Raw genomic sequence first — 25934 nt, forward strand, 5'->3', positions numbered from 1 at the left:
AAACATCAGAGAAAAAGATCTCTGCTTTGGTAAATAGGTAAACAATGTGGTATATCCATACAATGGAATATTATTCAGCTGTAAAAAGGATTGAACCACTGATTCATACTACAACATGGATGAAGCTTGCAAAACTTACGCTAAGTAAAAGAAGAAAGGCACAAAAGGCCATATATTGTATTATTTCATTTATATGAAATGTCCAGAATAGGAAAATCCTTAAAAAAAAAGTAGATTACTTGTTGCCAGGGGTTAAGGGGAAAGGAGACTGGAGAATGACTACTAATAGATACAGAATTCATTTTTGGGGTGATGAAATGTTGTCAAAATAGATAGTGGTGATAGTCACACAACTTTGTGAATGTTCTAAAAGCTACTGAATCATATACTTTAAAAGGGTGTGTTTTATCACCTGTGAATTATATGATTTTAAATGCCAAAAAATGTCTCCAGAAAAAAGTGAGGGAAGGAGAATCTATAGTCTATGTTGCTTCTTCTATAAATATGACTTTAGAGGTGATAATATGCAAACAATATTTTGTTTAGGGTTTAGTTTGTCAAGCATATTTTCTTTTATTCTAATACTCCTTCTGAGCCACCTTTCCCTAAAATATTCATCTTTTTTCTATTTTTTTCATCTGTGCGTATATTTTTAAATTTCCAGAGTGTTGAAGATGAATAAAACACAGACCTTATGCTCAAGAAAAGGTGATTTTTTTTTTCCTTTCTGTTACTGTCCAAAATTTATTCTTTGGACATAAATATAATCATTGGCCTCAAACTGTGAACTGGCTACATATTGAAGATTCTCAATTAATAATTAAATATATTATTCTCAAAAATTTAGGAAAATTACTAGGTTAAATGTTGATACGCCATCATATTATTTTCCTGTGTGGTAAACTTGAGTGTACTCATGACTTCACAGTCACTATATGGGACCCTGCAAGTGACAAATTTGAGGCTAGGTAACATACATGGTCTGAAGAGAAGGTCTATCTGAAGGTAGAGGACTGAGAAGGCAAACCTACTAGAGTAAGAACCTGAAGATGGAGGAGGAGATGGGATCAGAAACATAGCTGGATAAACTGGCTTGAAAAAGGAAAAACAAATATGAAAATAGATAAGTTATTAGATAAGGAGTTGGGAAGTTGGCTAATACTGCCTGATGGCCTTAATTTTCTCAATCACATAAGAAGTAAGAATATAAGAGTTTAAAAGTTGAGTTGGGGGTTTGAAGATTTGGAATAACTACTGAAGAAAATATGAGAAGTAGCTTACAATGGACAAATTAAAGGGTTGTTGAATAGTTCTGCAGGTTGGAGACAAACAGTTTCAAGAGACACCAGCATGAGAGAGCAGTGTGATCTTTCTCACTAGCACTGAGATAGGTAAAGTGTAGAAACAGTTAAGTCACACTATAGCATTTATTGAGGAGTGGGAGTTTTGATGGATGGGGTTGTTGGAAAAATAGCAGTAGAAAGAAACTGAGAGTGCTTGTATAAATGTCAGTGCTAAATAAGAAGGAAGACAAGTTCATGTGGGAACTGATGAAGTAGGATAAAACAGATGAAATCCAAGAATTGGAAAATTATATGATATAGTAAAAATAGGGTTCGGGGAGGTAAGAGGTTTTAGTTATAATATGTCTTTGAGGCCTGTGTGATGGCTCATGCCTGTAATCCGAGCACTTTGGAAGGCCAAGGCAGTTAAATAGCTTGACTGCAGGAATTTGAGACCAGCCTCTTCAAAAAATACAAAAATTAGCCAGGCACAGTGGTGCACACCTGTGGTCTGCTACTTGGGAGGCTGAGATGGGAGGATCCCTTTGGCTAGTGAGGCAAAGGCTGCAGTGAGCTGAGATCACACCACTGCACTCCAGCCTGGTTGACAGAGTGAGACCCTGTCTCAAGAAAAAAAAAAAAAAGAGAGAACATGTTTTTGAAATGTAAGATTTTATGTAGATGCTATTCTATTAGTTGAAATATTATATGACACAGCATTGGAGTGAATAGAGTGTAATGGAAGAGAAGATAAATATGAAGATAACTGGATTTATGTAAGTTTGGGATAATTGGGCGGTTGGTTAGGTTTTTGTAACGGCTATTTAAATCCTTTAGGATTGTGGTAAAATTGAGAATTGAAGAAAAGTCTAAGCCAGCTCTCAAGGACTTCAGTAAATGAAGGAGTGACCATTAGATACCAGAAAGGGAATAAAAGGGGTTGGGTGTCGGGAGGGGCAGAGGTATAAGTTAGCATAGCCAGTTGTCATAAACTGCAAAGAAATTTAAACTTCTAAATAAAAGTGGAAGGTAAATATTCAAGAAAAAGTATCAACTAGCCAGAAATATTACAACCTAGGAAGAAGGATAAGTATTTGTTACTAGAAAGAACCTCAGGGGAAACAGCATGTTCAAGAAAGTACCAGGTTTTAGTTAAGACAAGATAAAGGTTGGTATTGCATTGTGCATAGTGAAAAGGGTTCCACTTGCTATTGGTGTCACCACACTTTCAGGGTGATCATTTCTACTAACTGATATTATTTCTAATTCAATACCATATCTCTCTTCATTGATATGAAATTGGACATCAGTGTTAATTAAAAAAAAAAGTTTTAGGACAGAGTCTCATTTTGTCATCCAGGCTAAAGTGTAATGGTGCTATCATAGCTCACTTCAACCTTGACCTTCTGGGCTCAAGCAATCCTCCTACCTCAGTCTCCCAAGTAACTGGTACTATACAGGTACATGCCACCATGCCTGGCTAATTTTTTAAAAAAATTTAGAAGGCTGGGCATGGTGGCTCACACCTGTAATCCCAGCACTTTGGGAGGCCGAGGTGGGCAGATCATGAGCTCAGGAGATCGAGACCATCCTGGCTAACATGGTGAAACCCCATCTCCACTAAAAATACAAAAAAATTTAGCTGGGCATGGTGGCACGCACCAGTAGTCCCAGCTACTCGGGAGGCTGAGGCAGGAGAATCGCTTGAACTGGGAGGCGGAGGTTGCAGTGAGCCAAGATTGTGCCACTGCACTCCAGCCTGGGTGACAGAGAAGACTCTGCCACAAAAAAAAAAAAAAAAAAAAAAAAAAAAGAGAAAGAGAAAAGAAATGAAATGAAAAGAAATGAAAAAATTTAAGTAGAGACAATGTCTCACTATGTTACCTACCCAGACTTGTCTTGAACTCCTGGCCACAGACAGTCCTCTCACTGATGCCTCCCAGAGTGTTGGGATTATAGGCATGAGCCCCCCAGCCTAAAATTCATTCTCATGTCTTACATAAGTTTTAAGAGACTTTTACAGTTTTACTTTGTAATATAGTTAGTTAGTAACTTCTATTTATTTGTATTTCTGTGATAACTGGTTATTCTATCCTTATTCAGAGATGCCTGCACAGATTAATTTTTACTGATTAATTTCATTATAGACAAAATAATAATTTAGAGTTATATACATTAAAAATGTTCATTATCATTGATTAATATATTCAACTTTTGTTTTATGGCATTACTACTATTGATTAATTTGCAGGTAAATATTATTTCTATTAACTTGTCTGCTATAGGGATAAAATGCATTTCTATGCTCTTTTCACATTTAATTTCTAACATTTTTCCCACTGATTATACATTAAGGAGTAAAATGAATTTAGTATGAAAGTAGAGAAATCATGAAATTGGAATAAATTCTACTGTATGAAATAATTACAGTAGAAAAAAATGCTGCAGTAGCTTCCATCACATTCAATATTTATTTTTAAAAGCAAATAAGGACAATTAATCTATAGCTGTTATTCAAACTAAATGCAGTATTCTGACCAGTGATTCCCTCATAATCATGTTTATCCCTCATGATAAGCAAATTTAACATACAGAAGTTCGAATTTTATAGATATAGTAAAAGAAAAAGTTTGAAATAAAATAACTTTCATGCATGAGTATTATTGTTAGATGCCATAACATCAGTATAGTGTGGTACTATAGTATGACTTTATTTTCAAATTCTGATTCTCCATACAGAAAAAATGGAATCTAATCTTCAGGATACAAAAGTGAAAAAAAAAATCCAAGAACACCTGGCCTGAGACTTTAGGATTTTAAGGAAGAAACAATTCCAGTCTTTATTTTTTAGCCATATCTTGACTTCAACCCTTTGCACTTCTCCTTGACCCTTCTCTTTCCAGGATCTTGTCTTTGTTCCTTGCACGTATGTTCACGTTGACTCTTCTACCTGAAATGTGGCTTCTGGTTTCTTTTTGAGTAAAGTACCTACTCATCCTTCACCACTCAACTCACATGTGAATTCTTCCATGACGTACCTTCTCTTCTCTTCACAGCTTATATATAATGTTCTTTTAAAATAATAGTTTCTCTTGTGATACCCATTTTCTCCCCTGTGATAGTTTTTTAAGTATATATTTAATCTATCATGGTTGATTAGTTGAGTATAGTATATCTATCATTTTTATCTTTTTATTTTTCTGCCTCCCAGTATCTACAATATTTCATACATAGTAGGGACTCAATAAAACTTTGTATATGAATAAATTAGATTGCAACAAAACAGTGAAAGTTTACACATGTGAAGAGCTCCAAAGGAATAGAGCTTCCAACATAGTACTTCTAACATAGTGCAATATCCAATATGCTAGTCACAGTCTTCTTTGACAAAAGTTTTTAAATAGTCCAGGACAGGCTGGTATTGGTGGCTCACGCATGTAATCCTAGCTCTTTGGGAGGCCAAGGCAAGAGGATTGCTTGAGCCCAGCAGTTCAAGACCATCCTGGGCAACACAGCAAGACTCCATCTCTACAAAAACTTTAAAAAAATTACCCTGTGATGGCACATGCCAAGGCTGAGGGAGGAGGATAGCTTGAGCTCAGAAGTTCAAGCCTGCAGTTAGCCATGATCAAACCGTTGCATTCCAGTCTGGGCAACAGAGAGAGATCCTGTCTCAATAAATAATAAATAAATAGTCCAGGTGGTCTTTCCCCTGCCCCCCCCCCACAATGGAAATAAACTACTATTTCAGAAATCAGTGGAAATTACTTCATAATAATGTATTTCATGGCTCATATGTATTCCATTTAGGAACAATTTGGTTGGTTGGTTGGTTGATTTACTGATATATGATGAATAGTCATTTCCCTCATCTTTTCATCTTTCAAAAGAATTCTCTTTACACTTTTCTTTTGGGGCATATTCAAAGATTGGCATGAGTTTGCTTAATGTTTAAATTCTAATGGTATCTTTTGTTATTTTTTCTTTTTTTTATTTAAGAGACAAGGGTCTTGTTTTATCATCCAGGCTGTATCATATCTCACTGCATGATCATATCTCACTGCATGATCATATGATTACTGCATGCCATATGATATGGCATGATCATATCTCACTGCAGCCTCCAAATTCTTGGCTCAAGAGATCTTCCTGCCTCAGCCTCCCAAGTAGCTAGGACTACAGGCATGCACCACCACACCTGGCTATTTTTTTTTTAATTTTCATTTCTGTAGAGATGGGATTTTGCTGCGTGCCCAGGCTGGTCTCAAACTCCTGTCCTCAAATGATCCTTCCACCTTGGCCCCCCAGAGTGCTTGGATTACAGGCATAAGCCACCATACCCAGCCTTTTGTTACCTTTTCTTATGGTTTTCTCCCACTCTTGTTAGATTTCATGCAGGATTTTTAGATATAATGTAATTATCATTTGGAGATGGCAAAAATAAGAAAATTTGTAGAATTAGTCTTCTGGGACTTTCTATGAAAATATTTTGAGTAGATATATAGTTGTCTGAAGACCACTATGTATTTTCTAGATAGTCTATTATTTACTCAGCTTTCTTTTACTATTTCTGTATACCACAGAGTATGAATTGCTACCTTATATGGTACACCTGTCATATATAGAGACTTAGAGTTCTGATCTGGCACCTTGAGGATTAGACTGGCTTGCTTTGCTAAGCTGTGAATGAGAACTTGATGCCATGAACACTGACTCATAGTAAGCATACAATGAGTCTTCATCACTTTTCATCATCCACATTTTTAGTATAAGAAATAATGCTGCCTGTAATCCCAGCACTTTGGGAGGCCGAGGCGGACAGATCAATAGGTCAGGAGATCGAGACCATCTTGGCTAACATGGTGAAACCCTGTCTCTACTAAAAATACAAAAAATTAGCCGGGCGTGGTGGTGAGCACCTGTAGACCCAGCTACTCCGGAGGCCGAGGCAGGAGAATGGCATGAACCTGGGAGGTGGAGCTTGCAGTGAGCCGAGATGGCACCATTGCACTCCAGCCTGGGCGACAGAGTGAGACTCTGTCTCAAAAAAAAAAAAAAAAAAAAAGAAATAATGCTCTAAGTCCCCCAAAAACATGCATGAGAGGTAATATAGCATAATGATTAAAAGTTAGCTCTGGATTCAGACAGAACTTGATTGAGTCCTTGTTCTGCCAGTTTCTAACAATATAAACTTGGGAAAATAAAAGCCACTCTCTTCACATACTGGGGATAATAATAGTAATTTTTTTAGAGGGTTGTCATGAGAACTCAACGCAGTAATGCCCTCAAGGCACTTAACACTTTCTGGCACATGACAAGCATTTCATAAATAGTAGAGATGGGTTTAAAAAAAGAAAGGAATCGGAAAGAGGAAAAGTAAATTTATAAAATTCTCACTTTTTTAGCTTTTTAGAACTGCATATTCCATAGAAACTTTCCTCACACTTTTCCACATGACAATTCAGAATAGGATAGATCCATTTTGCATTTCATACAAGATAAAATATTTTCTGAAGTACCAAAAGATTTCATTATAATTTCACAAAGTAATAGGGTAGAGATTGTGGACAATGTTTATAAGGTTTGTTTCATAGTTTGATATGGTTGACCTTTAGTGGTTATGGAATTAAAATTATTTTATTTCTTAAATTGCCTTCATTTTATTCAGCAAATAATTTTTAACATCTATGTGCTAGACCCTGTGCCAAAATAGGGAAAATAGTTGTTAACAAAACCTATCCCTTTCCTCAAAGAGCTTATTTTCTAGAGGGGAGATGGATAAGTGTACAAATGATTACAATATAGAATAAAAAGTATAAAAAGTAATTAGATTGATTTGAAAATAATAGTTCCCATTGGTAAAGCATTTTATAAGCCACTTAAATTTCACTTAAAGCTCTCTTTGAAGCTCAGATTGATGGAAAACTGATGTTATAAGAGGTGATCTAAATTGCCCAGTATTACATAAGTGTCAAAGTAGTGATAAAAATTATACCGTATGTAACCAAAGTTCAGGGTTCCTTCCACTTCACTGCAGAATACCTTTTGAAGACATAAACTGTGACAAGAAAAGATAAGTGAAACTCTTTCAGCCTTATATAAGGCAGAAAAACATTCTCAAAAGAAAATCTATAATTTCTTGCTGCCTCTAACCATTAAAAAGTCTTTTTCTGAATTAATAGCTTAAGAACATATTTGAGAAGCTTAAACAGTTTTTCTTATCCTTGATCCAAACCAAGCATAAGGTTTTTAAACTGTAAAAAATACAGTAATTAAAACATTACATATTATTTTGCACATGAGTCCCATGGGTTCTCTTGTTAAGTCTTTTTAAAATATTCCAGCTATGTGAATCTGAGAGGACATTTAGCTAAAATCAGTCAACAAGATAAGAATATGAGCTATGAATACTTAGAAATATAAAATTGAATCTTTTAAATCAGTGCTTTTCAAGTGTATTTTCAGAAAGTTAATCCCCTGCACTGATGCTTTAAAAAAATTATTCCACTATCAAATAAATTTGGGAACTACTACACATACAGTCCTTCTCATCAACATTCACAGCATACCTGAACACTCTGAGATGCACTATAATAAAGTTGTATTTAAACCAGCATTTTCCAAACTTTGTTTATAGTGGAACTATTTTAGTGTAATACTTTCAGAGTCATTCAGGGAATGTGCTTAAAACTCATTGACATGCTTTAATTTTCCATTTCAAACTTTGGCCTCTATTCTTTCAGTAAAATAAATATTTTTATTCTTGTTGAGTTTAAGCATAAAATTATGGTACAAAATATGGGGTTGTCTAGAAAAAACTCACTGTAGGGATTGATATTATCTCTAAAAAAGCTGACAGATGGAACTAGCAAATGAATTGTAAAATCAAGTAAGGATTAACAAATCCAGTAAAGAGGAAAAATGTTATCCAAGGAATACAAGATGAGATTTATCTCTCAAGCAATGACACTAATAGAGGGAATATAAAAATAGTTTCTATAGTTCAATAAATATTATGAGAATTGATCATTTTTGCTGACTTCCCAAATATATTTTAAAAATTCAGTCTGTCTGTTGTTTGGGGAATCACTTCAAACAAAGCAGTTAAGCCACAGTATAAAGAGATGGAATTGACAAGTGGCTCATTTTCTTTTTGTGCGTTTGTTTGTTTTTGAGACAGAGTCTCACTCTGTCATCCAGGCTGGAGTGCAGTGGTGCGATCTCAGCTCACTGCAACCTCTGCCTCACAGGTTCAAGTGATTCTCCTGCCTCAGCCTCTCCAGTAGCTGGGACTACAGGTGCCTGCCACCACGTCCGGCTACTTTTTGTATTTTTAATAGAGATGGGGTTTCACCGTGTTGGCCAGGATGGTCTCCATCTCTTGACCGCGTGATCCACCTGCCTCAGCCTACCAAACTGCTGGGATTACAGGCATGAGCCACCGCACCCGGCCTCCCATTGGCTATCTGTCTGTCTTTTTCTATGCTTCCAACAATACGTTGGCTTGGAAACATTAGCTGTAATAAAGGAGGTTACAGCTCTAGAACTCCCTTTTATGTCATATATACATGTGTGCATGCATGCATATGTGTGTCTATGTATACATGTGTATATACCATGCTCTAATCTAGCGCATGCTTAGAAGACTCTCTCCCAGTTTCCCTCTTTATGAATTGCTCTATCCTATTCTTGCCATAATGTCTGTTTATTTCTCTCCTCCTCATTTTCATTTCCAGGTTGGTTTTACATTGTTATTTAATGATTATGAGTCCATTATTCCCATATCTAATATTTCAACACATCATTAAAGTTTCCTATTTCCACTATTAATTGGAATATACCCTCTTCATTAAAAGAATTAATTTTACATATTACACAAAATGAGCAAATTCCCTTATATTTGTCAAATAAAATATTCAAGGTCAATCAATGTAATAACGAGTGAATGTTATAAGGAGATATTTAGAGACTTCTGTTAAGATAAAATATTGCTACCTCATTTCCTGTTATACTTTCAGAGTCTTCACCATTTTATTTTAATCATGATTTTAACAAATAATAATGTTGATATCTCATTTGTAGGGTGCTTTTCTGGCTAAAAACTGATTTTATAGCTCATGCATATGTAATATATGTATATATTTATGTATAACATATGGCATTCCTATACTATATAGATATATTTCTATATAATACCTACATACGTATATGATATATACATACATACATGATATATGTATGTGTCATGGGATGTTAACCGTAAACTTGAGAGACTGACAGACCAGATTTTATTATTTACATTCTGAGATGAGGATTCTCCTGGTTTAAGATTCTGTTGCTGCTCTAACTAAATAAATTTAGAATTTAGGTTCAATCTGTATAAATGATTATAACTACAAAAGAAAAAGAACTTGTGTTTCAGGCATGCTTCTTTCAGAGAACAATATTTAGGGCATACTGAAATTTTAGGTTCATGGGAGCAAAGTCTTCATCTGTTGTGAGCACTGCTGTATCCCCAGTGCCTAGAACACTGCCTAGCACAGCACAGGTCCTCAGCAAATACCTGTTGAAGGATGAATGAGTCCCTATTTCAGTCGTTTTTAAAACTGCAGTTTTTCATTAAAACTACTGAACTCAGACAATAAATGAGAAAGATAATTCTAAAAATCAAATTTTAAATATCAAAGTATTAGGTAAAATTTAGTGCCCTTTTCATTAATCCTTTAACTGTTATGAAATATAATCATCATGTTCCTTTTGTTCATACTTTTCTGCTAATGGTTCATTCTTAAAATTGTAACATAGTACTTCTCTTTCATAATTAGATTATAATATCCAGAAAACCATAGGCCATCATTGGAAAGGACTTTAGAAGTTAACTATCTAGTACCCTGAACTAAACTAGGACTCTTCCTATGTCAGTGGTTGTCAAATCAGGCTCATAAACAAAACACTGGGGGAGCTTTTTAAAAACATAAATTTTCTGGCCTTGACATGAGAATTCTATTCCAGTTTGTATCTAAATGTGATGAATGCTCTAACGCTATACGATATCACTAATAGTTGATTGTCCAATCTGCTTGAACAGTTGAGAGCCCTCTACCTTATGAGGCAGTTCATATTCTTGGACATTTGTAATTATTATAAAGATTTTTCCCAATTGGGCCAAATCCTACCTGCCTATAACTTCTTTAAAGGAGACTGCTCTTTACTTGGGAGATGATTAGAAAGATATTAATTTTAAAATTATCTTTTGATTGAGCATATATCTTACGCATTTCTGTATTTATGATATGTTTCACGGTTCTTAAAACATGAAAACAGGACTGGAAGAAAGAATTGCATCAGGGACTATCATTTTGGAATTGGCTCTAGTTATGCTTTAACCCACTGACTATATATATAAAGTAACTAGTGGATTACATACATATATATATCATATATATACATATAATATGTACATATAGTTCTACTTTTATTAGTATAATTCTTCATTTTTTCATAGAGCTTTTATGCTCCAGCCCTAGACTGCTGATCCCAAATTATGTTTTTTTTCAAATAGAACAGGCTACTCCCCCTATCAAATTTTGCTGAGTGCCACAAGAAGATATGTAAACAATTCAGTTATTTTTTTAAATCCAGTTTTCAGTCTTTCTACCACATTATAAGGTTAGATAATGGATTAATGGCATACAAAAAAATAACCACAAATAAGGAAACTGTCTTTTCATAATCTATTTTGTAGATATTTTCTTTTAATGTGGGTTGAATAGTTAAAATGAATACATTTAGATAATTAAAGACCTGAATTTGTCTCTGACAAATAAATTGTTCTGATATTAGAATTCCTAATTTTTGTCAATGTTATTTGAACTGAAAAGTAATTTTCATGTTCTCTAAATGTGTTTAAAATACTTTTACTGTTATTTTAAAATTATTATTTACCTTTAAGATAAAAACAACACCTAAGAGAAATTCTATTTTGGCATTTTAAATAATATTCATTTCTGCATTAAGGGTTTGTCATATTCCATTTTTATCTGCATTTCACTTGCTATATACTAGTTTCTCGATTTGTGGTTATTACACAATTTGGTATTAAATCAGTACATAATGCATTCATCTTGTATTGAAAGATTGGTTTGCCTTTAGTGCAATTTAAAAACATTGTCAGTTTGTTGTTACTATATGGAAACACAGAAAAAAGGAAGATGACAGTTAAAGAAGAGAACAAAAAGATGTTGAAAGGATTAGGTACTACTATTTTCCTTAAGGAATATATAAATTATACTATAAAGCATTTTATTAATCTTTCCATTGTATTAAATAACAGTAGTATTTAAACCCATTAGAAATTTGTTCGTAAATGTTAATCATTAATATTTCTGTTAGCCAAAGTAAGATTCTAGGAACTACATCACTGACTTTGAAAAATCTGGCAATTGCCTTTTTTTTTGTATTGATGGATTAGATATTCATGTCTTAATTATTAGCATAGTTGCTGCAGAAATGACAGATTAAAATATCAATATGCTTACAGTATTTTTATTCAATTTTTATAATCATTTAAGTTTTTCATCTACATTAATGTATAAGCTTTAATAACTAATTTTTTAATTTTTAAGCTTTAATAACTTTTCAAGCTTACATTGAAGGATTGCAAATATTTAACTCTAATAAATATAAGAACACGTGCAAGTCAATATTTCTTTGTAAATTGAAAATAACTAGATGCATTGTCTCAGAATATTACTGCATAATAGTTTATAATAATTATTCTGTAGTAACAAAATGTAAGAGTACTGATCTGAAGCTTAAGATTATAAATGTATTTCAGTTTGCATTCAATTTATTATAAACCCTAAAATGAAATGTTAATAATGTTGATTAAATTCTTAAACTTTCAGCAAAATAAATTGCATAGGAATAACAGCTGCCTTTCGCTTTTTTAAATTTCAGAAATAGTTGTTTATTCAATGAGGCGTTTTGTTCATTAAGTGTAGTTTCTTCAGTGCTAGCTTGACAATAGCATGCTTGATGTCTTTACTGAATCATTAAATATTTATGGTTCTAGTATTTGCATACTTATAATGAGAATTACATGCAGTAAAACGATCTTTGAAATGGTTCAGTGAGGAGGGAAGGATTTTTTTTTTACCATTTATTATAAACTAAATCTTTAATTATTTTTAACAATATGGGAACACTTACTTAGTAAATCTGGCATTAGCCAACTAGAAGTAAACTGACTAGAATTTTTATTAATCATGTTTTACCAGAAATAGGAAAGTGAACATAGAAACTGCCTACATCAAGATAACGGATTTCTTCTTAAGGCAACTTTCACAGAATTTTCTCCAGACCATATTACATTTAATTTCCTGGGACTCCTACAGTTACAGTGATATAGTAGTGGACTGGGGAACTCAAACTTAAAGACCTAAAGGGGCCAAGCAGGTAATATAAGTGATTGAAGTAAGTCAGGCTTAAGAACTTGGTAGTGTTGGGAATGGTGGTGAGCTGGAGAATGTATGCACCCATTAAAGGGGGAAAGTGCTGTTCCCCTTAAGCTAGTTATTGACATGCAGCAGTATTGACAGATCTGCTGTTTCAGGAGATCAGAAACCCTAATTCTTATGTTATCTTTGTAAACAACTCTTTTGGCCAAAGAGAGTATATCAGTGGGCCAGATCTAATGGATGGGCCACCAGTTTGCAGCTACAGTAGTAATTGTTGGAATGATGATCCTCAATGACAAAAATTGCTGAACAATCAAAAAGGGAATAAATCATGTTCTTCATTTTGTTATTTCTAAGTCAGAAACTGCTCATATGTTTTAGAACAGTCTTTAGTAATATGAATAAAAGTTAACCAGAAGATTGCATTTCTAAAGTATTCCTGTTAATGAAGGTTTGGTGGTTAATAATTTCACTGTACTCATGTGTGTACATGTATGTGTTAAAAGTAAATTAAACTCTGACTCTGCCTCATTTTTCTCAGATAACAAGCAAAATAATAGGATGTTCTATAAATTGTGTAGAATACTATTAATCCATGGTATTTCACAGGTATGAAAAGAAATATTGTAATGGATTTTAAGTCTCCAGAAGTAGAGCTAATTATAGAAATGTTAAATATGTATAAATAAATTATCTTGCCCCATGTGGAAATTATGTTTTCTATTTTTTATAATATGACCACCTAGATTAAGGAGAAATTAAATTAAGCTTTATTGATATTGCTAGAAAATGGAAAACAGTTAAATCTGTTCTGAAATGGTTTTAATAAAAGCAACTCTTTAAAATGCAAAATTATATTATTGATTGATTTAGGATTTACATTTGTATGAAGTGAGTTAGGCTGAGTTTTGTACCTTCAGCTAGTAGTTTTAAAACTTGGGAGATACTATAAAATTTACCATGAAAGATGATGGTTTCAATTTTGTTTTTAAACCTGATAAAATGTGTCTGAAACCAAAAGAGGATGACATGATTATATTTATAAGAATAATTTGGAAAGGTAGATAAGATGTCTTTAAAAAAACATATTTCTTTATCAGTCTAACTTAAGTATAAATGGTAATTATAATTACTTCTCAGATTTGTTTTTTAATGATAAAGAGCTTTTCTTATCACTCTAAGTATAATAAAGTACATATTGCATGAATTTGGAATAATTCTGCATACACTGAGTAACATCAATAACTATTCATTGGAAATCTGTTGACAGCTTTGTCATTCTTTTTTTCTAATCTAGTAGCTCGTAAATTTATTTGTATAAGATTAATTCAGTTTTGCTTAAAATTCATCACACTTGGTGGGCCCAGTGACACTCACCTATAATCCCAGCCAATCAGGAAACTGAGGCAGGAGGATCACTGGAACCCAAGAGTTTGAGTCCAGTGTGGGCAACACAGCAAAATCCCCATCTCAAAATAAAACAAAACAAAATTTATCACTTTGCATATATTAATAGTTTTAATTACGTCAATAATATAGCTGAGCACAGTGTGTATTTTAGCATGTACTTCTGTAAGTTTTGGATATCTTATAATCTAATGTATTCACACAGGACTATAGTTTTAAGGTAATGGACTTTAAAATTTATATAAGAATATATACCTTTGAAATAAATTTCCTTTTTTTTTTTTAATAGAAGCAAGGTCTTGCTCTGCCAGCCAGGCTGTAGCACAGTAGCACCACCATAGCTCACTGCAGCCTCAAACTCCTGTGCTTGTGCCACCATGCCTGGCTAACTTTTAAATATTTTATAGTGATGGTATCTCTCTCTGTTTTCCAGGCTGGTCTTGAAATCCTGGCCTCAAGCAATCCCCCCTTCCTGGGCCTCCCAAAGTGCTGGGATTACAGGCATGACCTACCACACCTAGCCAAAAATTTATCTTTAAAATTTTCCAGGGAATGTAATTGTGGGCAAAATAATCTTTACATTTTCTATTTGTTTATATGGAATATTGTCTTCTGCTTTATTTTATCAAAGAAACCCTAATATCTTAATGTATATATTTGGGAAATGTTGTCTTATTTCTTCTAGTACTTAGTTCTGACATGATATCTACATAGCCTTGCTAAAAATGTAGTTGTCCTTGGGCTGCCTAATAGCTGTATATATTTAAGTATTTAAATGAATAACTTAAGGCAATTCTTAAGCGTTGAATTGATTTCTTATTAGTGAGATTTATGTTATGATTACACAGATTGTTTAGAATCATATCAAGAACTTAAATAGAACTGGACAACAGTTCTGGACAGAATACGAACTTCTATTGGCATTGACAACTGAATATTTCAGCATTGCAAACAAATTATGAGAAGGGAGTAAAAATACTTCCAATAAGTAACAAAGTTCCTCATGATGATACAGGAGTTTACTTTTTTAACCCTATTTTACCTGTTTATTATAATAGATAAAATATGAAAATTTTAGAATATTTTATATAGTGTGAGATATTCTTATTACATAAAGGAAGAACTTATAAGAAGTATATAAGAATTTCTTAGGCAAAAACTCAATACCAAAGATTCTCCCAACTTCCAGTTGATAATTACCAAAATTATTGGGGTTTTTTGTTTGTTTATTTTTTGTTTTTTTGTTTTTTTGTTTTTTTTTTTTTTGAGACAGGGTCTTGTTCTGTCGCCCAGGCTGGAGTGTAGTGGCGCAATCTCAGCTCACTGCAGCCTCCATCTCCCAGGTTCAAGCAATTCTTTTGCCTCCCAGTATTACAAGTCCAAGTGCTTCAGCCTCCCAGGATTACAGGCATGTGCCAGTTTGTATTTTTAGTGGAGATGGGGTTTCACCATGTTGGCCAGGCTGGTCTTCAACTCCTGGCCTCAGGTGATCTGCCTGCCTCGGCCTCCCAAAGTGCTGGGATTATAGCCATGAGCCACCGGGCCCGACCAAAATTCTTAAGTTTTCATGGTGTTTTAGTCACCTCAGGCTGCTATAACAAATTGACTGGGTGGTTTAAAAAAGAGAAATTTATTTTTCACGGTTCTGGGAGGCTTGTGCCAGCATTGTGGGATTCTGGTGAAAGCACTCTTCCTAGTTTGCAGATGGCTGTCTTTTCGTTGTGTCTTCACGTGGCAGAAATCAGAGAAAGGGAAAGCAAGGTCTTTCTTGCCCCTTCTAATAGGAGCAGTAATCCCATCATGAGGGCTCCACCCTTATGACCTAATTACCTCCCAAAGGGCTCATCTCCAGATACTGTCATATTGGGGATTTATGGTATCACCAGGAATTTTTGAGGGACACAAATGTTCAGCATATGTGTCCGGGCACGGACACGTACAAATTTAGGCCAGGCGTGGTGGCTCAGGCCTGTAATCCCAGCACTTTGAGAGGCCGAGGCGGGCGGATCATGAAGTCAAGAGATCAAGACCATCCTAGCCAACATGGTAAACCCCGTCTCTACTTAAAAACAAAAAAAAAAAAAATCAAAAATTAGCTGGGCCTGGCGGCATGCACCTGTAGTCCCAGCTACTCAGGAGGCTGAGGCAGGAGAATTGCTTGAACCCGGGTGGCAGAAGTTGGCAGTGAGCCGAGATCGCGCCATTGCACTCCAGTCTGGCAAGTGAGCAAGACTCCATCTCAAAAACAAAAAAAACAAAAAAAACCCATAATTTATTGTACTTCAGGTTTTAGGCATGCTATAAATCTGGGTTTATATATATGGCAGTTAAGGAAAAATGCTTAGCAAAAGACACTTTGCCCATAAGATTGAAGAGTAAACATTTTCAAACTTAAAAATGTCACCGTATTCTCTTATTCCTAAGATAAAAGTAAGATTTTCTGAATGTTAAAATTATTATTTTTAAGTCAAAAATATGGTATTTACTTTTGTTTACTTTTAAATTTGGTTTCTGAGTATTCTCTCTGAAATAAAATTATAGTACAAATAAAGCCTGTCTTCTTTAGTAGTGTATTGTCAACTTCTACCCAACAGGGTCTATGAATCAAGTACTACCAGGCTGACGCTCCGTGAGGGCCAATTTACTATTCTTGCCTATCATATTGCTGCAGTCTCACTCAAAATAAAAGTCGTGGTAACTGAAAAATTACACTAGAACCTTCAAAAGGGACACATCTTGTTGCTTGAACAGCAAATGAAAATGCATGTATTAATAAAAGATTATTTTAGAGCTCCATTTGTACTTAAGGACAGTAAGCTACTGTATTTTTAGACAAATGTAGGGCACATTGTGAAAACACAGAGTTACTGTCCAATAAGTTTTTTAGCATATTTCCTTATGCTATAATAGAGACAGCACTGAATTGCATAGATTCTAATTTCATCTTGACTCTTAGCCCTCTGTGAAATCTGGGGCAAGTATTTTCATTTCTTCAGGCTTCAGTTTTCTCACTCATGTAGAGAGCAAACCAGATGATCTTCAAGTCTCCTCACTCATAAAACAATTAAAATCATCATAATGTTAACATTTAAGTAGCATTTAATGTAAACATTTAACATTTAAAATCCAAAGCATATGAGCTAGATCATAATTTGTAACATAGAAAAGTGAATACTTAATGCTTTTTATCCAAAAATGATATTATTATTGAATTATATTATTATTTGAACAATCTATTTAATTCCTAACATTAGTCATTGGCAATTTCTTGAAAAAGTGTCTAGTAACCTTTTCCTCTGTTTTTCTTTCACCGTTGAATAGTTTTCAGGTGTATTTCTAGACTGTGATGTTTGTGACTGTATGTTAGTAATTTCGGTATCCATCAACCAGAAATAGTAATTCATTCTCCTCAGAAGTGTGTATTGCCTTAGATTAAATAAGTAACCTGTTAGCAAAAAAAGTTAAAGGATATTTTTATTCATTATTTTGGTTCATTTTATAATACACAGTGTATGATCAAATTAAGTGATGATTTTTAACTAAAACTTCTTAGACAAGTTTTCTGGGAAAAAATGATCTTACAACAGGCAGCAACTTAGAGTATTATAAATTAAGATACAAAGAAGAGGATAAAAAAGGAAAAAAAATTAGGAGTATCACATTATTCCCTATCAAGACATAGCCAATTAATTTCATTGTCTTTGGGGTGAGAGCATTGCTTATAGGAATTTTTCTAAAAGATCCAGTTCTTTCCCTCTAGTCACCAATCCTGAAAGAAATAAACATGGGGATTAGCTAACTACTCTCTCACCTTGGCAGTATTTTACAAGAAAGTGAGCTAATTAACCTCCTTCTTTCTTTCCTTCCTTCTTCCCACACCATCTCTTCTCTTTCCTTCTTTCTCTCTCTTTTTTTTCTCTAACCATTTTTCTAGCTGCTACACATAGGCAATTATGGTACTTCGTGGTGCGATACTGAAATACATGAAAACTAGTTGTTGCCTTAAGAAGGTCAAGGCTAGTGGAGGACATGGACATTTAAATAATTATAATACAGTTATAATCACTGCTATTATAAAGATATATTCAATTGTTGAATATTCCAAAGTGATATATATTAAATAACTACTAATTCCATATTTTCATTGAGTAAGGAAGTGCAAATAAATAGGAAAGAATCTGGGGAGATACCACTTAAACCATGGTGGAACAGAGGATTTTTAAATACATTAAGGCAGAAGTTCTGAGACATGAATTTACATCCCTAATTCTGCCATATCCTAGCATGTGGTATATCATCTCAGACCGTTACCTTTTTCTTAATGGTAATATTTTGTCATGATCAGACTGTTACTATTAATCTAAATATTAATTTTAATTTGGTTTCAGTAAGGTTCCAGACTAAAGCAAAAGCAAGAAAGGGATAAGAAAGGAAAAAATACAAGACTATTACAAAGTATGTGTAAATAGGTTTTGGTATTTGATTGAGTTACTTCACTCATTTATTTAATAAATATCTTTTGAGTGCCAGGCCCTATTCTTGAGGCTTTTAATAAAATAATGGCTGAGCGAGGTGGCTCTAGCCTGTAATCCCAGCACTTTGGGAGGCCGAGATGGGAGGATCACTTGAGGTCAGGAGTTTGAGACCAGCCTGACCAACATGGTGAAACCTCGTCTCTACTAAAAATACAAAAATTAGCCAGGCGTGGTGACACACGCCTGTAATCCCAGCACTTGGGAGACTGAGGCAGGAGAATCACTTGAATCCGGAAGGCGGAGGTTGCAGTGAGCATAGATCACGCCATTGCACTCCAGCCTGGGCAACAAGAGTGAGACTCCATCTCAAAAAATAAATAAAAATAAAATAATATAATAGAATAAAGTAATGAACTAACACACAAAATCCCTGTCATCATGGAGTTTATATTCTGATGGGGGGACTGAAAAAGAAGTGCAAAATATTGGGTATAAGATGATAATAGTAGAGAAGGGTGACAGTGTGTGTCAGTCAGAGGAGATGGAAGCATTGCCTCACTTCCCAGAAAGGAGAATGTGGATTTAAATCCCAGAAGTAAGTGGAGATTTTTTTTTTGTATGTGGAGATTTAAGAGTTCTGAGCTTTGTGGGTGATTGAAATTAACAGGGATAAAGGGGATATATAATGAGATTTGCACTGGTAATCTGAAGGCTGATATTAGATGTGAAGCTGTAAGTGCTAGGGTTAGGGTAGGAGTTCGTTTTTACCTGGAGCATGCAGAGTTCTAGGGCTTAGTTCCCTCAAACATATAGGGCTGGAGGGGTGATCTTATACAAAGCAGTTCAAATTCAGGCTTCCCTCTTGACCTGAACATAGGAAGCAAAGGGAAAGAAAGAAATAGCAATGACATCAGTGCTCCTATTTTGGGTAACTATGACTATTGAAAAAAAGTTTGGGATGTCAATAGGGTTAGGAGTTTTGAGTGGATGAAGAGTAAAAGATTTTAGAAATTTTGAATTTTCATGTAAGGCCTGAAATTGGCCTGAAGCTAATTGGAGAATGGATCTGCATATTTCTATTTAGATTCATACTTAATCTGGTGAAAGGAAATGAGAACAATCTATGTTATTACTGAAATAGGTATTAACTTCATGTTTAACTTCAGCTTTTAAAATAATGGTAATTTTAAAAGACATTAATTATTCCACCTTCAGATTATTTTAAACTATTAACTCTTCAAATGTTTACATTTTCTATTACACTATGTACTTTCTGAATAGAGTACTTGACAGTCAACAAGTTATCTTTCTTCTCAGAATCCCAAGAAATATGATTCTAAAGAAAGTTTTATTGTATTGCTGAATAAAGAATGTATGATTTACCAAATGATGCTATATTTTAATATCTTAGTTTTCAATGTGCTGAAGTCATTGCATTGTTGCCGTGTTATTTTTATATAATATAATTTCCAAAAAATGCTGAATACATTAGACTGAAGTCAAATGACATTTTTAGACAAAGAAAAATTTGCATTTGAAAATGGAAGTGTGGAGATTTTTGCCATTTTAAGGGAGATATTTAATTATTGTTTATAAAATATGGTATAATGCTAACTTTCACTCAGTATGTGTATATTTTTATTTTATTTAATGTATATGTAGAGGAAATGATCTTACGATATTTAAACAACTCTAAAAAGCATTTCTAATTATTATAGGAAATAATTCTGAAAAGTCTGGTACACAGAAAAATCATCTATATCTTTTATTATGTAGAATGCACTAGTTCATTCTACATAGGCAGGAGTTTCCTCCATTAAAAAAATTAAAACCTTTAAGTATGAAATTTTACAGTAGTTGTAAGAATCAATGAGTATGACAGGTATTATTTACACTAAATTTTTGATTATGTGCATCATTGGGGACAGGAGGCTAATACAACAGTAGACTTTTTTTAGAAATAGCATTTGATATGCAAAGTAGATTTTTCTGTTATTTCTTAAATATGTTCCATGTAGTAATAGGACATGGCCAAATGTAAAACATTGGTAGATTACAAAAAAAAAAAATACAAATAGTGATTAACTAGTATTTTTAAACCAATTTAAACATATAGGCCCGATAATGCTTTAAATTATTTTCAAAGCTCAAAATGCAAATGGGCAAATGTTTAAAATGCACTATAATATAAAATTACTTCAAATCTTGTAGGAAAATAGGAGAATAGTAAAGTCAGAAAGTTAATAAGATGCAGAATAAAGTTAAATCAGCTAATTTCCAAATAAAATTTCTATACACCAACACATGAAAAAATTCTAAAGTGGATTTTCTTATACTGTCTGCCATGTGCAATAAAGCAAAGCTCAATAAAATAAAGTATGCCTATATGTGGAATCAACAACAAAAGTGGACCTGTGCAATTACACCAACTGCTATACTGAAAATAACATCTTGGTATTTTTTAATTTAAAAGCAGCCAGTGCAAAATTTTTTTTAATTTAAAGATATGCAATCATGTCTATATATGAGAGAAAAACAAAACTTTTTTTCTTAAATACTTCTTAAGTGTATGGTAATCAGAATGACACAAAGAAGCCAATATGGTTCTAGATATACTAAGAACTAACTGAAAATAATGCAGAACATATTTAACCAAAAAGGAAAATGTGAATAGCTGGGGCTGGAGAAATCCAGTATTATCTATTATCTGCTTTCTGCTTGCCAGTGGACTTAGAAATATAACCATAAAAATCTTTTCTAAGCACAGGAAAAGCAAAACTAACAAAGTGAGATTAAAAATATATCACTTGGTTAGATGGTGAGTTAGTGAGTTCATTTTGCCTCTTCTCACTCAATGTCACTTTTTGTTAGCCTCTACCAGGGTTCTCAAATGGTTTTTGTCACTTGCAATAGAATCGCCAGAGAAATCTCAAAATAAAATATCTGCCCCTCATGCCAAAAGTATCTTATTAGAATTCCTGAGGCTAAGACCACAGACTGTATTCTTGAAAAGCTCTTCAAGTGGTTGTGGTGAATACTAAAATTTGAGAACTATTTTTCTAATTAATTTAGAAATTGTATACTTCATATGCTCTTCCAATTGGACCATATAATTCAAGGGCAAAATTTAGTGCTTGGCTTTTTGCCCAGATGCCTTGGAGAATGTCCAGCTTTATGGAATTTTCACCAAAAGCTTTGCCAAAAGAGAAGCAGACCTGTCCAACCTGCAGTAAAAGGAGCTGAAGACCAATGATGACAATCAGCATTCTGTGATTTGTCAGTTTGCCCTATAGAGAACAAAGAGCACTTTGATTTAATGGTCATGTCTATAGATATTTTATCATTAAATATGAAAAACAAGAAGACAAAGCAGAAAAAAATAGATCAAATCTTAGTGAGTGGGGAGTAGCTGCAGCAGGAGGCAGTGGAGGTGGTAAGCAGCAGACTACCACCCAGAAAAGAGAATCAGCGGTAGAGGAAAGACTAAAATCCAAACAGTATATAGAATTGTGTTGTGCTGCCCGTGGTAAAGGACTATGTCTGCATACATATAAATCTGGATGTCTAGACCATGTTCTCTCTCAGTTATTGTAGCTGAATAGAAAGTAAGTGTCTGTATGTTCTGGTCAAGTTAAAAGTCTAAACACTTTTAAATGACAATTGACTGAGCGATATGTATTTTAAGAAAGCTTCACTTCAAGAGAGACAGCACAAATGCTAGGGCCATGTTGCTTTTGTTGAAACCCTGATTCCAACATCCTCCTCAAGTTTTATGATTTCTCAGTTTTCTCTTCTTTAATCTGGATAATCATAGTACTTATATCAGATTCTTTATGAGGTTTAAATTAGTGCATGTACCTACTTAGAATAATGCCTAGTACATAATAGATGGTTATTGTCATCATTGTTACTATTCAAACTAAGAGACAAAATTAAAGAGCTTGAGTAAAGTGTTAGTAAATCATAAAGCTTTAAAAGGATGCTGTGGCACTATGAATAACATCTCTATTACTACAGGAGATATCTTAAATGATCCTAGAGAATAATTTTTTTAAAATTGATATGTTAATGATGACCAACTTATACCATGATATTGAATCAGTAAATCAGGTGTCTCCAGTTTGAAAACAAATAAGAATTGACTACCTGTTCTTAAATGTATGGTATTCTTGGTGACAAAAAATTATAATTCTAAAACCTTTCAAAAGGTCACACATATTTAACTACTCAAAAACTGCAAGCTAAATCTAATTTTTATATTTGCGGGGAAAGTTTTCAGAGCCCCAAAATAGTTGATGAATAAATGAATAGCTGTTGATTCCTGAAGGTCTCTTCCAATTTTATGAGAAGTGAAGTTGTAATAAGAGGCTTATCTTTGCTGGCCGCCTTTGTGTTTACAAAGTTTCTCCTCCTCAGAAGCAAAGTTTAGTGTTGGCTGACTTAGGTTTCTTGTGATTGAGGCTAGAAGGTGGACTAGATCAGTGATTCCCCAATCTTTTTAGCACCAGGGACCAGTTTCATGGAAGAAACCGGTTTTATGTCTTACTGTGGTTGAGAAAAAGCAAGTCTAATTTTATTTACTTAATGAAAATTAATAAAAGTTTGGAAGCTGAGAGACTATTGTCAAAATGCAAAATAAAAGGTTGGCCAATCAAAAAACAAGCAAACATGTATAAATGGAAAAATAGTTTTTTTACTGGGTTCTCTTACCTTTTTTGCAACTGTAGTGAAACAATTTTCAAACTCACTTGGGGATATCAAAACTTTTCCATGGCTAGATAATAAATAGTGCCAGCTAAATCAAGTGATAGGTACAATCTGATTTTAAATATGACCTATGGGGTAATAAAATGCATTGGGGTTTTGCTGGTGGGGCCTAAGTCCTCCAATATAGTACAGTACTCAAGCAAATGGTCTCTAGAACCAGGTTAAATTGGCTTTACATTAGAACCACACATTGGCTTGTGACCTTCCCAAATATTCAGTTTCTTCAACAGCAAAATAGGAACAATTACCTAACTTAAAGAACGTTAGAAATGTGGAATGAGATTTTTAAAATATGTGAGTGCTTGTAACACAATGCCTACCATAGGGTAAGCTTTCAATACATGTTAGGCAAAGTTAGAAGCTGTTGTTTTTATGTAGTGGAATCAACATACTTTGAATGAAACTGAAAAGTAGCACATTGATGGCATTAGTAAAAATTATTTTTTAAAAAGGCAAGAAATAAATTTTTATAAAGCTGCTTTGGTCTTTTATTTCCTTAGTACTTTTCAAGATAGAAAAAATCCCTGCAAATACACTTGCCTCAAGAGCTAAGGGATTAGAGAGGAATGGCAAGTTTTCAAGCTAGTTTTCATCAGTGCTACCCTAAGGCTAGTGCCCATTCAGCTCAAAGTTCTAAATTATCTGAAACTCAGAATAATAAATAATATTTATAATTATTATCCTTTTAGCAAGAAAGAGTTAAATTATTTCAGTGGTTTTTGTAAAATGCAGGAAAATAAATAATACCCTGCTTTTACATTTTAGTTAAGTATTAACTCTCTAGAATATTCACTTTTTTCAGGTTAACTTTTTCCATAAGTATGCCTGCTTTTGGCTATTCTAAAATAAAATACCCTAAATTATCTTATTCTAAAAGAAAACGTTGGCCACTTACAGCTGTACTTGTTTTAATTTAAGTTATAATTACATCAGAAGTGACCTAAGGATTCACAAAAAAGGATAAAACTTGAAGCAAAACCATTGATTCAGCAAACATCTCTTGAGTCTTACCCATCTAGGCTCAATTCCAATCAATGTTCGGCCCAGAGCTGGTTCCTAGTAAGAGTTCACTATATTGGAAGAGTGAATGAATAGGCAAATCAATGAATGAATAGCATGTGTTGTATATAGCATTGTGTTAAGAGTGCAGACTCTGGAACCAGACAGTTGGGTTTGAATCCTGGCTCTCCCACTTACTGTCTTGTGTTAACATGTAACCTTGGATGAGTTACTTAGCCTCACTGTGCCCACTTTTCTCATTTATGTAATTATGATGATAATAATACTTCCTCATTGGATTGTTTGAGGATTAAGTTAAAACTAGCAAAGCACTTACAACAATACCACATAGTAAACAGTGATAAATGGTTGCAAAAAAAAACAATAAAAAAGAAATAGAAATATAACTTTTGCCCTCAAAGACAAAACTTATACGTGAAATGCCAGTACTTACAAAATCATGTACTACTAATTTAACATTACTGGGAATAAATACCAGCTTGGTAACTCATGTTGCCACCTGATACTGACTCTGCCCAAAAGCAGCATCTCATTTCCCAAATGCAGGTCACAGGGGATTTGCATCTAGTCCAGAGTAACACTCAAGAATTGCTTCATCAGAGTATATCTTAACTCATGTAGCCTAAGGTTCTATAAACAACATAAATTTTTATCATATTAAATGACATTAAGTCACTCAACTGAAACAGGTGAAACAGGGAGTTTCTTCTGAGGCAATTTGAAATGATAGCTAATTAATTGTACCTAGGGAGATCACCAAATCTGCTAATTTTAGAAGTGGGAATGATCTGGCACTAAATTTAAATTCTTCCCAGTCACTATCTGATCCACAGGGTCATACAGCCAACATGGGCAAGAATGAGTATGTCCAGTTTTGGGATGGTGGGGTATTTATAAATTCTTCTGTGCTGATTAGTTGGATATTTGATCAAACAATTGCCAAAGGCCTTTACAAGAGTAATACATTTTAAATAAATAATGAGTTTTACTTTCTAAACTTTAAGGAATTAAGATACATAAAAATAATCTATCTCAGCCAGTCCCAGTGGTTCACGCCTGTAATCCCAGCACTTTGGGAGGCCGAGGTGGGTGGATCACCTGAGGTCAGGAGTTTGAGACCAGCCTGACCAACATGGAGAAACACCCATCTCTACTAAAAATACAAAATTAGCTGGGCGTAGTGGCACATGCCTGTAACCCCAGCTACTAGGGAGGCTGAGGCAGGAGAATCGCTTGAACCTGGGAGGCGGAGGTTGCGGTGAGCCAAGATCGCGCCATTGTACTCCAGCCTGGGCAACAAGAGCGAAACTCCATCACAAAAAAATAAAAAATAAAAAATCTATCTCTTACGTAACAAAATAAATAGTAATATTTGTTTAACTCCCAGCTGTGCCCCATTTCATTAAATTTTTGTTTTCTTCAGTATGCTAGACTGAATTTAAATTAAAAAATAGTTACACCTGTTTTAAATAGAGTGGCTAAATATATTTTACATTTGCAGGAGGAAAAAAATATATTTGTTG

At 34.0% G+C, this 25934-nt stretch overlaps 1 protein-coding gene and 1 long non-coding RNA gene across 66 annotated transcripts in view; one reads left to right on the forward strand and one right to left on the reverse strand.

Annotated features, from left to right (window-relative positions):
• Window positions 1–8679, reverse strand: part of LOC105375688 (uncharacterized) — a 33574-nt gene extending 24895 nt beyond the window's left edge. Inside the window, exons 1-2 of the long non-coding RNA XR_928499.1 lie at window positions 8638–8679; window positions 7279–7341 (exon numbers count right to left, since the gene is read on the reverse strand). This is a non-coding gene — a long non-coding RNA (uncharacterized LOC105375688). The remainder of the gene's footprint in view (window positions 1–7278; window positions 7342–8637) is intronic.
• RIMS2 (regulating synaptic membrane exocytosis 2) overlaps window positions 1–25934 on the forward strand; it is a 755485-nt gene that overhangs the window by 602360 nt on the left and 127191 nt on the right. Inside the window, exon 1 of one of the 65 annotated variants that reach the window (XM_006716698.4) lies at window positions 12657–12740. The exons of the other annotated variants lie outside the window; for them this stretch is intronic. The gene's annotated coding sequence lies outside the window, so the exon portion shown is untranslated. Of the gene's footprint in view, window positions 1–12656; window positions 12741–25934 lie in introns of those variants that run through there. 65 annotated transcript variants of the gene reach the window in all.

This window comes from Homo sapiens, chromosome 8, assembly GCF_000001405.40.
Source record: "Homo sapiens chromosome 8, GRCh38.p14 Primary Assembly".
In the NCBI taxonomy this organism is placed as follows: Eukaryota; Metazoa; Chordata; class Mammalia; order Primates; family Hominidae; genus Homo; species Homo sapiens.